The sequence below is a fragment of the Homo sapiens genome, chromosome 1 (genome assembly GCF_000001405.40).
Source record: "Homo sapiens chromosome 1, GRCh38.p14 Primary Assembly".
Classification (NCBI taxonomy): Eukaryota; Metazoa; Chordata; class Mammalia; order Primates; family Hominidae; genus Homo; species Homo sapiens.
The window spans coordinates 145,008,973-145,024,272 of record NC_000001.11 but is presented as its reverse complement, the minus strand read 5'-3'; the positions used below and the strand labels follow the sequence as shown (position 1 = coordinate 145,024,272).

Here is a 15,300-nt window from a genome sequence, read left to right as displayed (position 1 = left end):
CCCAGAGGCTGGAGTGGGATGATTGCCTTACCCCAGGAGTTCAAGCTTGCAGTGAGCTATGATCATGCCGCTGCACTCCAGCCTGGGTGACGCAGCAAGACCCTGTCTAAAACAAACAAACAAAAAACTAGGGTGGTTAAAAAAAAATCTTGGTGAACAACCTCTCTTGTGGATTGTAATTTCTCAAAGAAAAATATGATGTAAAGATTCTTTCTTTTACTCTCCCTTCCGGGTGTCTCATCAAAAAGCGTATATTCCTGAGCTTTGCTGGCAATCGTATTATTTTTTCTCTCCACCTCAGTCCCTGTAACTTTCCTCTTTGTCCATTCTGGAGTTGTGGAGGTGATAAATGGGTCCAAAAATGCTGTTAAGAGTGATCTTTAGGTGGGCACAGGTTCTTTATGATATATCCCTAATCAAGAGCCTTTACAGGTTCTCCCCAAAGTCTCTTTGTGCAGGAATGGGAGCCTGCTGTGTTTTAGACTGGATGGGGCTCTGACCAAGTATTTTTTGTCTTTCCCCGCAGGGCATAGTAGTAGGTGCTCAGTAAAGATTTGTTGGATTGAAGTGGTTTGAATTAAATATGATTTGTATGTAATTTTATATTCAAATAAAGTCTGTTCCTGGTCTGAGTTACTTTTCAAATTATATATTGTTACTCTGAAGATTGTCATTTCCTGAATTTTATTTTCTTTGTTCCTTTTCACCCACTTGCTTCCATTGTTCCAAATTTAGTCGTGTTGGAAATCAGACTAGGTAGGTGTGGAAATAATTGTCAAATCAAATTGTTCAGTCAGGGGAAGGTGGGGGGTAGATGGCTAAAGACATCAGAATCTTTTGTCTGGGTTTTAGGGTCAGAAAATGGAAACTGGCAGAGCAAAAAGGTCAAAAAGTATCAGGAATACCCTGCTTTGCTTTAAATCTCTATTTGCCTTAGAGCAGTCATCTGTAGTGTGGTGACCACAGGCTTTCTAATGTCTATGGGTTTAACCCCCTAGAGAGCAATTCCTTTGGGGTGAGGAGACTGGAGGGGATATTCTTCCCTTCCAGGGGTCTTCTCATTGCCTTCTTTTTAATTTTTTAAATTTAAATTTTTTTTTTTTTTTTGAGACAGAGTCTCACTCTGTCACCAGGCTGGAGTGCAGTGGCGCGATCTCTGCTCACTGCAACCTCCGCCTCTCCCGGGTTCAAGTGATTCTCCTGCCTCAGCCTCCCAAGTAGCTGAGACTATAGGCACGCATCGCCATGCCCAGCTAATTTTTGTATTTTTAGTAGAGACGGGGCTTCACCACATTTGCCAGGATGGTCTCGATCTCTTGACCTCGTGATCCACCAGCCTGGGCCTCCCAAAGTGCTGGGATTACAAGTGTGAGCCACCATGCCAGGCCCCATTGCCTTCTAATAGCCCTTTTCTCTTACCCTTTAGCTCTTGGCGCTTGACTTCCTATGTCCATCCCCAATATCCCTACTCCGTGAAAGTGAGGTGAAAATGCCATCATCTTTCTGCCTGTCCTGCTTTTAATCATCTTCCAAGGCAGCAGCAAGTGCAATTCTAGTCCCTTTCAACCCCGTCCATGTGGGTGTTAGACTGATTGTTTAGCTTCTTTATGAAGATGCACATTAGCCATTCAGAAACTTAATCTCATAATGATTTGTGTGTGTTGGTAAAAAAGAAAAGCCATGATCTCTGACTGGTATACTCAGATGTTCCCTTTGGTCACTGATGGCAGGATTTCAGAAGCGAAGGACCATTTAATTTAATTTTGCAGATGGCAGGAGGTAAGCAGGAAAGCTTGGTCACAATATGCCCCCTCCTGGGAGAGTGGCTTCAGTAAATTCAGGTTGCCGAGAGCCTTAGATGTGAGAAATTTAACCCTCTGCCTTCTTTCCACTTCCCCTCCCTTATATAAAACTTGGTTGTTGTTTTTGTGTGTGGGGTTGGGGGGTGGGGTAGGGGGTGGAGTTGAGGAAGGGTGGGAAGGTGGAGTGAAGAAAATTGCCTGGGTTGAAAAGCCAGTGACTGATGTTAGATTACCTTGTAGTGATGTTGCTTTGGGCATATGGATTATGACCAGATACAGATTAACCCGTTCCTCTATAATTGTTTTATGGCCTCATCCTTCTGAAATTGCCTCCTTGTGGCCTGAAATCCTTTCTGGGGTTTTCCTTAGGCTGGGAACTCTGCTTGCAGATGAGAAATAAACCTACCTCTCTCCAGGGCATGAGTTCCACAGTGAAACTGAGGAGTAGATGGATGAGGAATCTTCTTTTATTTTGTTTTTAGGGTGGTGCCCTTCCCACAGGGAAGCAAGCTGCGGATTCTGAATTTGTTAATTGCACAGCAGCTGAGTATTTGCTGCCTAGTCCTGTTGAAGTTCCAGGATTGGATATCCAAGCTGTTGGCTTTTAGGATACATCCCCAAATGGTCATCTATCACTCTTTTTTTTTTTTTTTTTTGAGACGGAGTTTTGCTCCTGTTGCCCAGGCTGGAGTGCAATGGCGTGACCTTGGCTCACGGCAACCTCTGCCTCCTGGGTTCAAGAGATTCTCCTGCGTCAGCCTCCTGAGTAGCTGGGATTACAGGCATGTGCCACCACACCCGGCTAATTTTTGTATTTTTAGTAGAGACGAGATTTCTCCATGTTGTTCAGGCCATCTATCACTCTTTACGGCCAATAGTCACACCCAAAATTTTGGTGACTTTCACAGTCTGGCTATTGGATAAATTTGGTTTCGGATCTTGCCAAAATGAGGCAAAATTGTTTTTCTTCATGCTTCAGAGCCATGCTGCTCTATAAGGAAGTCTATATTAAATAGGTAAAGACATATTTCTTAATAAATCAGTCTAGATGATGGTATTCAGAAGCTTGACAAAATTATCTTCCTAAAACTTGTTTGTTCCTGCTTTGCTAAAGGTTAATAGAAATAACTCATGGATAAGTAGTGAACTTTTTAAAGTTGCTGTTTTTGTCTTAAATCCCTCCTGTCTTTGCTCTTTTCCCTTCCTTTGTGGTGGCTGCCAATCCTACCTTGCAGATAACTTCTCCCTCATGAAAACAGAGGAGGATCTGATATTATTAATTTATCCTGGTAGTTTGACCATTGTAATGCTGTCCGTGAACATTTGCATTTCAGTTGTTTATCTATGAGTAGAAGGCCCTCTGGCTGGGAGTGGTGGCTCTTGCCTGTAATCCCAGCACTTTGGGATGCTGAGACGGACAGATCACTTGAGGTCAGGAGTTCTAGACCAACCTGGACAACTTGGTGAAAAATACTAAAAATGCAAAAATAAAAAAATTTAAAAAATTAGCCGGCATGGTGGCGCACGCTTGTAATCCCAGCTACTTGGGAAGCTGAGGCATGAGAATTGCTTGAACCAGGGAGTCAGGGTTTGCAGTGAGCCAAGATCATGCCACTGCACTCCAGCCTGGGTGACAGAGTGAGACTGTCTCAAAAAAAAAAAAGAGAAGAAAATAGAGTAGAAGACCCTTTTTTTCTTTTAGCCACTACCAAGTAGGTGAAGATATACTTATATGTTTTACAATTATTCATTCATTTATTCATTCATTCATCTGTGCAACAGGTATTTTTGATGATCATGTATCAGACACTACTCTAGATGCTTTATTTCAGTCAATACAATAAAGATCTCTGTGAGTTAACATTTCAGTTGGGGAAGAGGGAGACAAACAATAAACATGATGAATATATAAATTGCTAGTATTTAGAAGGTAATAAGTACAGTAAGGAGCATCAAGAATGCTGGGTAGTTGTGAGGGGAGTTGCTTTTTAAAATTTTTTCTTCTTTCTTCTTCTACCTTTTTTTTTTTTTTTTTTTTTAAAGAGACAAGGTCTCTCTCTCTCTTGCCCAGGTTGGAGTGCAGTGGCACCATGATAGCTCATTGCAGCCTCCAACTCCTGGGCTCAAGGGATCCTTCTGCCTCAGCCTCCTGAAGTACTTGGGACCACAGTCACATACCACTATGCCTGGCTAATTTTTTAATTTTTAATTTTTATTTTTTAGAGACAGGGTCTCATTTTGTTGCCCAGGCTGGTCTCAAACTCCTGGCTTCAAGCAATCCTCCCACCTCAGCTTCCTAAAGTACTGGGATTACAGGTGTGAGCTACCTGTGCCTGGCCCAGGTTGCATTTTAAAATAAGGGGTAGGGAGCTTTTAGATGAGGCCTCATGGAATAGGTCACATTTGTGCAAAAATTTAAAGGAGGTAAGAGTGTAAGCCACGTGGATATTGGGGGAAGGGCATTTCAGGCAGAGGAAACAGCCAGTTTAAAGGCCTTAAGGTGGAGCCCTAAGGCTCAAGTGTGCTTGGTGTATTTGAGGAATGGCAAGAAGGCCACTGTGGCTGAAGCAGAGTGCTCTGGTGGGAATGAGGCGGAAAAGGACTAGGAGATGAGGTCAGAGAGGAGAGGGTGAGAGGTTTTTAGGAGGAAGGGAGGAGATGCCTGATTACATCATACCATGTTAGGCTGTTGGCTTTTATTCTGTAAATATCTATATCTACATCAATTATATCTCTCAGGACTTACAACTTTCCATCTTTATCGTCTTCTGAACTCCATAAGATCTTTCTAAGAATTGAGGGGAAAGTTGATTATAAGGGAGAATATACAAAACCTGGCATCGAAGCCTTACTAGAGACCTGGAACCTACTCTTTTTGGGACTTGGTAAATTGATGAGATTCCATGCGCCCCCACCCCCCATTCTCTGGCATACAGAACAGGAATACTTATATAGCTTACTCTCAACCCAACCTTTCCCTTCGTCTGCTTCAAGAATCTCAAATACTTACGATTTTTGGCATATTTGACATTATTTTAGTTAATTTCTGAACATGTTTTCCCACTGTTAACCCTCTTACCCCAGACAGCATTTTGAAACACTTTTTTCTTTTTTTTCTTTTTTTTGGCAGGGTCTCTCTGTCACCAGGCTGGAGTGCAGTGGTGTGATCATGGCTTACTGCAGCCTTGACCTCCTGGGCTCAGGCAATCCTCCCACCTCAGCCTCCCAAATAGCTGGGACCACAGACATGCACCACCACACCTGGCTATTTTTTTTTTTTTTTTTTTTTTTGTAGAGACAAGGTCTCCTTATTTTGCCCAGGCTGGTCTCGAACCCCTGGACTCAAGTGATGCTCCTGCCTCAGCTTCCCAAAAGTGCTGGGATTACAGGCATAAGCCACCGTGCTCGGCCCTGAAATGCTTTTCTCTACCACCTAATACTTTCCAGTTCTGGAAATGAACTTTCTGACAGCATCTCATTAAATGAAATAATAGAAGTGAAAGCACTTTGAAACTCAGAAAGTCCAGGAAGAAATCGGCTGGTTGTCTCCACTCTCTTCATTACCCACCTGCATGCTAGCGGATGTACATAGCCAGAGGATCACTTTGGAGGCATTTCATTTCATTGGCGGGCGAGGGGGCAGTTCTTTTGGCCTAGTTGAATATTAGGCATATCTGGATCTAGTCTAGCCCCGACCTCCTTACAAGTCTTTGTGCTACAAAGTCCAGCGTTGGTGTGGTTTTTCAAGGAAGGATATAGAATGGTTTATTTTGGATGAGAATTTCATTTTGTGTACCTGATTTTGTATTTTTTTTTTCCTCTTAAGACAAGGTTTCACTATGTTGCCCCAGCTGGTCTCCAGCTCCAAGGCTCAAGCAATTCTCCCGTCAGCCTCCTGAATAGCTGGGATTACAGGAACGTACCATTGCGCCCAGCCCTTGTTTTGTTTTTGAAAGCTGTCGTGTTACTGCTTAAAGTCTCCAAACTGTTATTGAGAACACTGACCAGAGCCCTGTCCATAGACCAGTGTTTTTCCAAGTGCAGATTGCAACTCCTTTGCAGAGTAGGTTGTGGAGCCATTTTAGCTGACTACTCACCAGCTTTCTTCAAAATGTAAATGGAATAGGATAGAAAAATAATGAAAAATTGTAAAGTGAATTGGATGCAAAAAGGGTAAATATTGTTGTGTCAGACTTTTTTGGGTGAGTGTGCATGTGTTCACATACTGGATCACATTATAACATGTATTGCTCATTATGGGTTGTGGTCAGAAAAAATTCAGAAAACGCTGTCTCAGACTGTCCCAAAGTTGTATTTGCTTATTATGGAACTGATGAGGATAGAAGATGAGTGGCTCAGAAGGTTGTATCTTGGTGAGATAAAAGAAGACATCAAATGACAGTTTTAGTTAGAAAAATAATCCCAATTGAGTTTGTTACTCTTCTATGAAGGTGGAAGATTCTGTGCCAGAACATTATGCTCTTCAGGTCAACAGGAACTAAGCTTGTTGTTTCTCTCTGCACAAAGAATTGTGCAATTTCCAGCGGGAACTCCCCTCTGGAGGTGGAGAGGGAAGGGGAAGGAAGAGTGGAGATAGAGGCAATTAGGAAGAAATCTTTACTGTGAGCCTTAGCTGACCCAGGATCTGCACATAGTTAACTCTGAGGCTTTGTTGGAATCCGCCAAAGATTCATTGTTAAAGACAGGGAAAGCACAACTCATTTCCATTTATTTTAGTTCAACATTTATGCCAGCTCTGCGCTAGGTGCTGGGATATAACAATGAATAAGACATGGTCTTGGACTTAACGGTGCTCCTAACCTGGCAGGGAAGACAGATGTAAATTGCTAATTATTGTACATTGTACTGAGTGTCATAATACAGTGTAAAATGCTCCAGTTTATGAATTAGAGGAACTATGCTTTCAGCCTTTTATTCTGAGAAATGTGCCATTTAATAATAAAGAACTGGGATACGGGTTTTTTTTTTCTAAAATTTGGGGAAGACTACTTTGTTGAAAAGGAAAATGAAATTTCCAAGGGAATCAGGTTCATCCAGTCAAGCTATTGTGTTATTTTGTGTCTTTTCCTCTAAAAGTATTCTAATGTCAAAAAATTTTTTAAATCAAGTTGACATAATACACACCTGCCCAGGGAACCTGGAGACCTGTAAAATAATTTAAAACCATTTTTTTTATCATATCTTTAAAAAATACTGGCAAACATAGTAATAAGAATTTGAGACTGGGTGCGGTGGCTCATGCCTGTAATCTCAGCACTTTGGGAGGCTGAGTTGGGCAGATCGCTTGAGGTCAGGAGTTTGAGACCAGCCTGGCCAACATAGCGAAATCCTGTCTCTACTAAAATACTTATAATCCTAGCTACTCCAGAGGCTGAGGCATGGGAATCGCTTGAGCCCAGGAGGTGGAGGTTGCAGCCAGCTGAGATCACACCACTGCACTCTAGCCTGGGTGACAAAGCAAGACTCTGTCTCAAAAAACAAACAAACAAACAAAAAAAACTTGAACCCGGGAGGCGGTGCTTGCGGTGAGCAGAGATCGCACCACTGCACTCCAGCCTGGGCGACAGAGTGAGACTCCGTCTCAAAAAAAAAACAAAAAAAAAAAAACTTGAGTGCTTTTCTTTGTTGGAACCTGTAACACTTTGCTTTTACATTCTCATTGATTTTTAAAATTACTAATAACTTTTTGAGACATGTAAAATCATGACAAATTCTACAGAAGTTCTATCAAAGCAAGTCATGTAGTGTGTTCAGGGTCCAGAACCTGAGTTCACCAGCTCCAGGCTGATTCACTTTTGTCAGCTGCATCCAACCTAAGCCTGGAACCAGATTGAATCAAATGCTAAGTTTTAATGTCTTTCATTTGGTTCTTTTATTTAGTTCAGTGTTTCTTACTGCTAGCTGACTTGGCTCTGAATTTTGTTCCTGCCTCAAGCAAATTCTGAATATGCCCATCTATGGATTTGAACAGTAGGATGTTTTTTCAGAGGTGTGAAATGATCAGGCAGCTTGATAACTTTAGACATACTGTACGTTATGAAGCATTTTCTTGCTTCTTGTTGTCTTTTTCTGGTGGATTGAGTCAATGCAGTTGGTAGAATCTTTTCCACTTATGTTATTGAGGCATGTGGTTGAAAAGTGGCCTTTAAATGGTGTGAGGTGGGTAGGCAGGGGATAAATTCTTACCACAGTTTCTAGGATGAGGAAAGTGAAACTCAGAGGCCCAAATCTTCTGACTCACACAGTGATTCTGGGGCTGTCTGTAATATCTAAACGATGAGACTGATCTACTTGCAAGGTCAGGGCATGTGGTCATTTTCTTGCTAGCCTTTGGATCACCAGGCTGTCAGCATTTTGAGGGGGAGTATTTGCATCTTGCTTTATTTGGAAGATTCAGCTTGAGGGAGTCATTATTAGAAGATTCTTAGAACACTTGAGCCCTCTGAAAATGAAAAGTCTCACATTTCCCTTCTACTTTGGCTCTCTGTTGGAGGGGAACACTTATGTCATTAAAAACATTGTACTTTGCTTATCTAATTCCCACTCTGTGTTCACATTAATAGCTTCCCATTGCTCTTAGGAACAATTCCATACTTCTTCAGACTATTTGCAATACTCACCAGAGCTTGACCCCTGCTTCTTTCAACAGTCTCATCTTTTTTTCCTCTTCTCATTTAAATTCTATGCTTCAGTTACCCTGAATTTCTTCGATTATTTCGGTTCCTTGCATGCAGCTTCTTTTCTGTTGCCTCTGGGCCTTTGAACATGCTGTTGGCTGGAGTACTTTTCCTGCCTTCTTCCCATAGGTAATTCCAATCCTTTACGTCTAGCTCCTCTGCGAGCCTCTTGCTGAGCCCTAGACCAATTTCTGTATACTCCTACAGCATCGTCTTTTTCCCCGATAATGGGCTTTTTACATTGCAATTACTTCTTATGGTAGTCTGTCTTCTCTGGTAGACTAGATTCCTTTGGAAGGCAGGCCCAAGAAGCTGGTTTAAATTACTGGAGTCTGACTAAAAAGACTTTTATATTAGACTGGTATTTCCCAACATTTAAAAATTTATGAACTTGGGCAGGGCATGGTGGCTCACGCCCATAATCCCAGCACTTTGGGAGGCTGAGGCGGGTAGATCACTTGAGACCAGGAGTTCAAGACCAACCTGGCCAACATGGTGTAACCCCATCTCTACTAAAAATACAAAAATTAGCCGGGCATGGTGGCACACCATTGTAATTCCAGCTACTCGGGAGGCTGAGGCTCACTAGAATTGCTTGAACCCAGGAGGCAGAGGCCGCAGTGAGCCGAGATCATGCCACTGTACTCCAGCCTGGGCAACCAAGTGAGACTCTGTCTCAAAAAAAAAAAAATGAACTTCTTTCAGAGTAATATAATTTTGTGAACCCCCTCAGGAATTTAAAAAATAATGTCATTACTTTTATAGACTATTATAAAGCAAATTTATGTAAAATATTTTCTTTTACATCAACATTATTAAATTATTATACAGCTTATTTTAATATACACTTTAAAATTTAATAGCGTCCATTTTATATAAAGATGTTTTCTCATTTAATAGGTGATATACACTAATTTATTTAAATGAATTATGTAAGCGTGTGATTTGTTTAAAATTTATAATAAAATATAGTGCTTAGTTTGAGACCAAATATACATTAAAAATATAGTTGGAAATTTAATTACTTGCTAACACATTTTTTAAAAATAAGAGAAACCTGCATTCTTGACCTAATGTTTGGAATTTTTGCATTTCACACTCTAGAATGACTGCTTCTTACATGTAATTTTTAAGTTTTGTTTCTACATGGTAGCGGTTACCACAGAGAGTTTCAACTGCATATCTACAAGGGAGTAACACCTTGTAGCTATGGAATGCCTTTCCTCTAACAGTTACAAAGCCAATTTGGATATGGTTATCTCTATATCTTATGTCTTTAATATTGGATTTTGAAATACTAAAGATTTAATCAGGTAAATGTAACCTAGTGATCTGGTGAAAATCATCTAGATGTGAATTGGATGCCTTGGTACTGTTTTTTATGCTTCTAGTTGACAATTGGGTTTTATCAATGTCTTAGACTTCTTGTTGTTGGTTTTTTTGTTTGTTCGTTTGTTGTTGTTGTTTTTTTTGAGATGGAGTCTCACTCTGTCGCCCAGGCTGGATACAATGGTGCAATCTCTGCTCACTGCAACCTTTGCGTCCTGGGTTCAAGTGATTGTCATGCCTCAGACTCCCGAGTAGCTGGAATTACAGGTGCCTACACCACACCTGGCTAATTTTTGTATTGTTTTGTAGAGATGGGGTTTCGCCATGTTGGCCAGGCTGGTCTGGAACTCCTGACTTCAAGTGGTCCTCCCCCTTCGGCCTCCCAAAGTGCTGGGATTATAGGCTTGAGCCACCATGCCCAGCCAACTTCTTGTTTTTAATCCACAGTCCACTATGACTGTACATTTTATGATATATGACAAAGAATAAGAGCAGTGAAAAACTGTAGAATGCTCATACCATCTTGGCCTAAGTGGTGGTTGCAAAACCACCATGGCCTAGATAATGATGTTTATTAGCTCATCACCCCTAATCGTTGTGCATACTCACTTGATATATCTGAGGCTCTAAACTGCCCAATTATAAAGGGATAATTGGGAAGACAATAAGGTTGTTGATTTTTTAAAAAAGGAAACGAAGGAGTTGCCATGATTGCGGTTAGCAGTGTGAAGACCCTGGAAGACCTGCTTGAACTTCTGGGGTGTTCACAGTCTATTGCTTGGTCAGGAGCCTTAGAAAACTTAGACATATGTGTTAGGAGACCAGGTTTTGAAACTTGCTCAGGGTTGCATAAACTTCTACATTAAGTTCCATGATGCCAGATTAGTAGTCCACATTTGCATAGTAGACATGCTGTTGCTGTTCCTTTTCTTATCACGAAAAGAGCAGAAGATGCAGATTATACCTGAGACAGAAAGATACAGGGGAGATACTGAGCTTGTTGCCTACCTTTGGGCGCCTCTCATGCCTTGTATTTCACATTGAGCCTCACTTATCAGTGACACAGGGAATGGTCCTTTTGCTCTCCACCTTCCCCATGGCTGCCTGGAGGCAGGGGAGGCAGATTGTGCCACTTGCTGACATTGTGTTGCTGTGGATTAGTTGGAGGGACAGGGACAGGAAACTTTCCTGGTGGTGCATGTGTCACTGGGGCTCACACGGGTACTTTTAAATCTTCTTCTCACTGGCCTCTGTGATTCTGTGAACCTGGTTATTACATGTTCAAAAAGTGTCAGCTTATTTGAAAGGGATATTCTTATTTTGTATTTAAACATTATGAAAGATCATCACACTTTTTTTTGGAGACAGAGTGTTGCTCTGTCACCCAGGCTGGAGTGCAGCGGTGTGATCTCGGCTCAGTGCAATCTTTGCCTTGTGGGCTCAAGCAGTTCTCATGGCTTGGCTTCCTGAGTAGCTGGGCTTACAGGTGCACCACCATGCCTGGCTACTTTTTGTATTTCTAGTAGAGATGGGGTTCTGCCATGTTGGCCAGGCTGGTCTTGAACTCCTGGCCTCAAGTGATCTGCCTGCCTCAGCCTCCCAAAGTACTGGGATTACAGGTGTGAGCCACCACACCTGGCCCATCACACTTTTTGGGTTTCAGGATGCCAACAGATCCTGGATTCTGGCATCTGGATTATGGTAGCAATATTGAAAAAAATATTATAGTGGGGAGTAAAATTTAGGAAAACCTTGCAAATTTTTATTCTTACTCAGGAGCTTTGTCTTCATACTCCATGGTCAGCCCTGGGCAATTAAAACTTTTGTTCCAGTAAAGGTTTCATTCTAAAGAGGTTTCATTAATTATGAAAAATTCCCCGTGGGCATTACATTGTGAATCCTTTTGTAGCTATCATAAATAATGAAGGAAAAACACTTGTCAAAATATAGCAGAGGTGACTAGATAATGCATCTCTCCTTTGATTTTTGATGGGTTTCCTTTTTTAATTTTTAAAGGAATAACTCTTGCTTATTTTTTTAAAAAAGTAAATACTCGTTATAAAAAATTCAAGCAAAACTGAAAAGTAAAAAGAAGCCAGCAATAAATTGTTCCAAATCCCATCACCCAAAAAACAGCTCTTGATTCATTCATTCAATGTGCCTTTATTGAGTGCTTACTCTATGTGAGGCACTGTGGCATCGGGGATCAGCAGGGAACAAAGTGAAGTCCCTACCATCATGGAACTTACACTCTAGTGGGAGGAGAAAATGATAAACACCTAAATAGATTTACAAGTGGCATGAAGAAAAATTAAAATGAGGTAAGAGCATAGAGAGTGTCGGGGCACTTTCAGATGGAGTGGTCACAAAGGCTGCTGTGAGCAGAGAGCTCAATGAAGTGAGAGAGCTAACCACGTGACTGTGGGGAAGTGTGCTTCCAGCGAAGGGAAGCATATGCAAAGGCCCTGAGGTGGGTGTTTGCTTGCCATGTTCTATGACCAGAGAGGCCAGTGTAGCTGGGGGCCAGTGAGTAAGGGTGAACTGGGCCATGTAAGGTTTTGGAAAGCCGTTAGCTTTTCTCCACTGGGAAGCCATTGAAAGATGATGAGCAGGGCTGCAGTGTGGAGAGTAGACTGCAGGGAAGCAAGGGAGGAGGCAGCAAGACCAGTTAGGAGCTACCACAGCAATTCAGAACAAAATGAGGCTGAGTTGCACTGTTCAAAAGGTGGAAGGGATAGGAAGGGTTGAATTCTAGACTCATTTTGAAGGTAGAGCTGATAGGATTTGCTCATGAATTGGATTGGGAATTTGTAAGAGAAGAGTCAATAATAACTCTGAAGATTTGTGGCCTGGCAGGTGAATGGTGGTACCGTTACTGGGGTAGGGAACGTGCTGGGGTGTGGTCAGGATGGGGTGTCAAGAGTTCAGGTTCAGGCATGTTAAGTTCTAGGTACCTGTTAGATGGCTATGAGGGAATGGTAAGTCAGTTGGAGGCTGGAGTTGACTGAGAGATCTAGACTGTAGATACAGATTTGGGAATCACCAGACATAGAATGGAATGGGATCTGATAGGAAGCAAGGAGAGATAGAAAACAGATCCTATGACTGAATCATGCATGGGGCATTTCAGCATTTAGATGTTGGAAAAGGAGAGGGCCCAACAAAGGAGACAGAATGTGTGTCTGTAGCATATCAAGAGAGTGTGGTGTTCTCAGGCCAGTGATGGTGGTGGTGGAGTCTCAAGAGTTGGCAATATTTAGCCATGTGCAGGTCATTACCACCCACCACAAGAGTGGTAGAAGCAAGAGCCTGGTTACAGTGGCCTTAAGAGAAAAAGGGAAGAAAGAAGGTGGAGGCAGGGAGTACGGACACCATTTTGAGTCTTAATGTAAAGAGAAGCCACGATGAAAAGGTAGGTGGGTTGGGAGAAGGGAAGAGATCAAGGAAAATATGCGTTTGTTTGTTTAATAAGATGGGAGAAAATACAGTGTGTTTGACTGCTGCTGGTAATGGGCCAGTAGAGATGGAAAATGATGATACGGAAAATAAGAGTGTATAATTTTAGGAGGAAAGGGCTTGAGTAAGCAAGAAGGGGTGGGTTCTGGTTTGCAGGTAGAAAGATAAACCTAGGTTAGAGGCTGAGACAGGGCAGGCAGGTAGGAGGGGAAGGCTCTGGATTTGGTAATGGTGCGTATGGACTTTCTCTTCCAGTGTTAACATTTGGTACACATAAACAGAAGGGTGGCTGGTGAGGGTGAAATAATTTTATAAGAATGGCATTATACCGTATGTACTATAAAAATAAAAATAACTGCATTTCTTTTTACTTGAATTTAACAGAAGAAAAGAAAACTGAAATGAAAGTGAAAGAGCTGCTGTACTTTTTTCTCTACCAAAGATAATAGTTCCTAAAAGTTTTCTCTAAGGTTAAAAAAAGATTATGAAAACTGTTAGGAGGCTAAAGTCACTATTAATATTTTTAAAGACATTTTTAGTTATATCTTCACTTTAGATGATTGTCTGGAAGAATTAGGTAATTCGTGTTTTTAAACTTCCTTGCACTACTCTTCCTATCTCTCAATTTTTATAGCTTATCTTTTTTTTTGTTGTTTCTTTTTTTGCCTTGGCAATTTTCTAACATTTACATTCCAACTTGCATGCTCCCATTTTTTGGTCTTGGTGCCATATGTAGCCACTTGTTCTTTGATCGTGGCTTTCCTGTTCCTGTGGTTTTTGTTTTGATTGATCTACTGGGTGCAAGATTTCTGTTTCTCAAGACGAGTTCGTGGGTGCTTCATAGGCTGAGATCTTTCAAGTTGCAGAGGAAGAGAGATGTCTGAACCTTTTTTACACTTGAGTGATGACTCAGCTTCTCCTAATATTCTTGGATCACAGTTGCTCTCTATCAGAATTTTTTAAGACATGGCTACATTATCTTCAGGCCTTGAATATTGCTATGGAGAAGTCTGAGACCAATCTGGGTTTCTGCTGTATTTTGTTAGCAATCCATTGATTCTTAAATAACTCTTTCTTTATCCTTGAAGGGCAAAAATTTAAACATTATAAGTCTTTGTTGATTTTTCTGTGTTCATTTCATGATATATTATGGGCCTTTTCTATTCACAGATTTAGTTCTCTGGATATTTTTTTCTGTTTTATTTATTGTCTTCCTCTGCATTTATTGTGAGTCTCTTAAGCCTTTTTTTTACACACCATTAATTAGATATTTAAAAACTTTTTATTATAAAAAATTTCAAATATATACAGTAGAGAGACTAGTGTTATGGATTCTCATGTACCCATCATGCTACTTTGATAATCATCAGCTCAGGGCCAATTTTGTTTTTTTTTTTTTTGAGACGGAGTCTCGCTCTGTCGCCCAGGCTGGAGTGCAGTGGCGGGATCTCGGCTCACTGCAAGCTCCGCCTCCCGGGTTCACGCCATTCTCCTGCCTCAGCCTCCCAAGTAGCTGGGACTACAGGCGCCCGCCACTACGCCCGGCTAATTTTTTGTATTTTTAGTAGAGACGGGGTTTCACCGTTTTAGCCGGGATGGTCTCGATCTCCTGACCTCGTGATCCGCCCGCCTCGGCCTCCCAAAGTGCTGGGATTACAGGCGTGAGCCACCGCGCCCGGCCGCCAGTTTTGTTTTATCTGTATCCCTCACCCATTCCCACTCTCCTCCATTACTTTGAAACAATAGCAGATATAATTTATCTTTGAATATTTCAATATTTAAGAGATAAGGAGGTTTTTTTTTTTTTTTTTGAGACGGAGTCTCGCTCTGTCGCCCAGGCTGGAGTGCAGTGGTGCCATCTCAGCTCACTGCAAGCTCCGCCTCCCAGGTTCACGCCATTCTCCTGCCTCAGCCTCCTGAGTAGCTGGGACTACAGGCGCCCGCCACCACGCCCAGCTACTTTTTTTGTATTTTTTTTTTAGTAGAGACGGGGTTTCACTGTGTTAGCCAGGATG

The 15,300-nt window shown here is 41.7% G+C and overlaps 1 protein-coding gene across 9 annotated transcripts in view, besides 3 other annotated features; it reads left to right on the top strand.

Moving 5' to 3' along the window:
* SRGAP2B (SLIT-ROBO Rho GTPase activating protein 2B) overlaps positions 1-15,300 on the top strand; it is a 208,093-nt gene that overhangs the window by 71,108 nt on the left and 121,685 nt on the right. The window lies entirely within an intron of this gene.
* Positions 2,043-2,912: an enhancer, noted in NCBI's record as "H3K4me1 hESC enhancer chr1:143986871-143987740 (GRCh37/hg19 assembly coordinates)". NCBI's record gives its function as "activates a minimal SCP1, AML or CMV promoter by ChIP-STARR-seq in primed H9 embryonic stem cells {active_cell/tissue: H9 hESC(primed)}" and the evidence as "EXISTENCE:reporter gene assay evidence [ECO:0000049][PMID:30033119]".
* Positions 4,651-5,520: an enhancer, noted in NCBI's record as "H3K4me1 hESC enhancer chr1:143989479-143990347 (GRCh37/hg19 assembly coordinates)". NCBI's record gives its function as "activates a minimal SCP1, AML or CMV promoter by ChIP-STARR-seq in primed H9 embryonic stem cells {active_cell/tissue: H9 hESC(primed)}" and the evidence as "EXISTENCE:reporter gene assay evidence [ECO:0000049][PMID:30033119]".
* Positions 5,027-5,221: a silencer, noted in NCBI's record as "fragment chr1:143989855-143990048 (GRCh37/hg19 assembly coordinates)". NCBI's record gives its function as "represses an EF-1alpha promoter that drives an FKBP-Casp9 reporter gene in an ReSE screen in K562 erythroleukemia cells {active_cell/tissue: K562}" and the evidence as "EXISTENCE:reporter gene assay evidence [ECO:0000049][PMID:32094911]".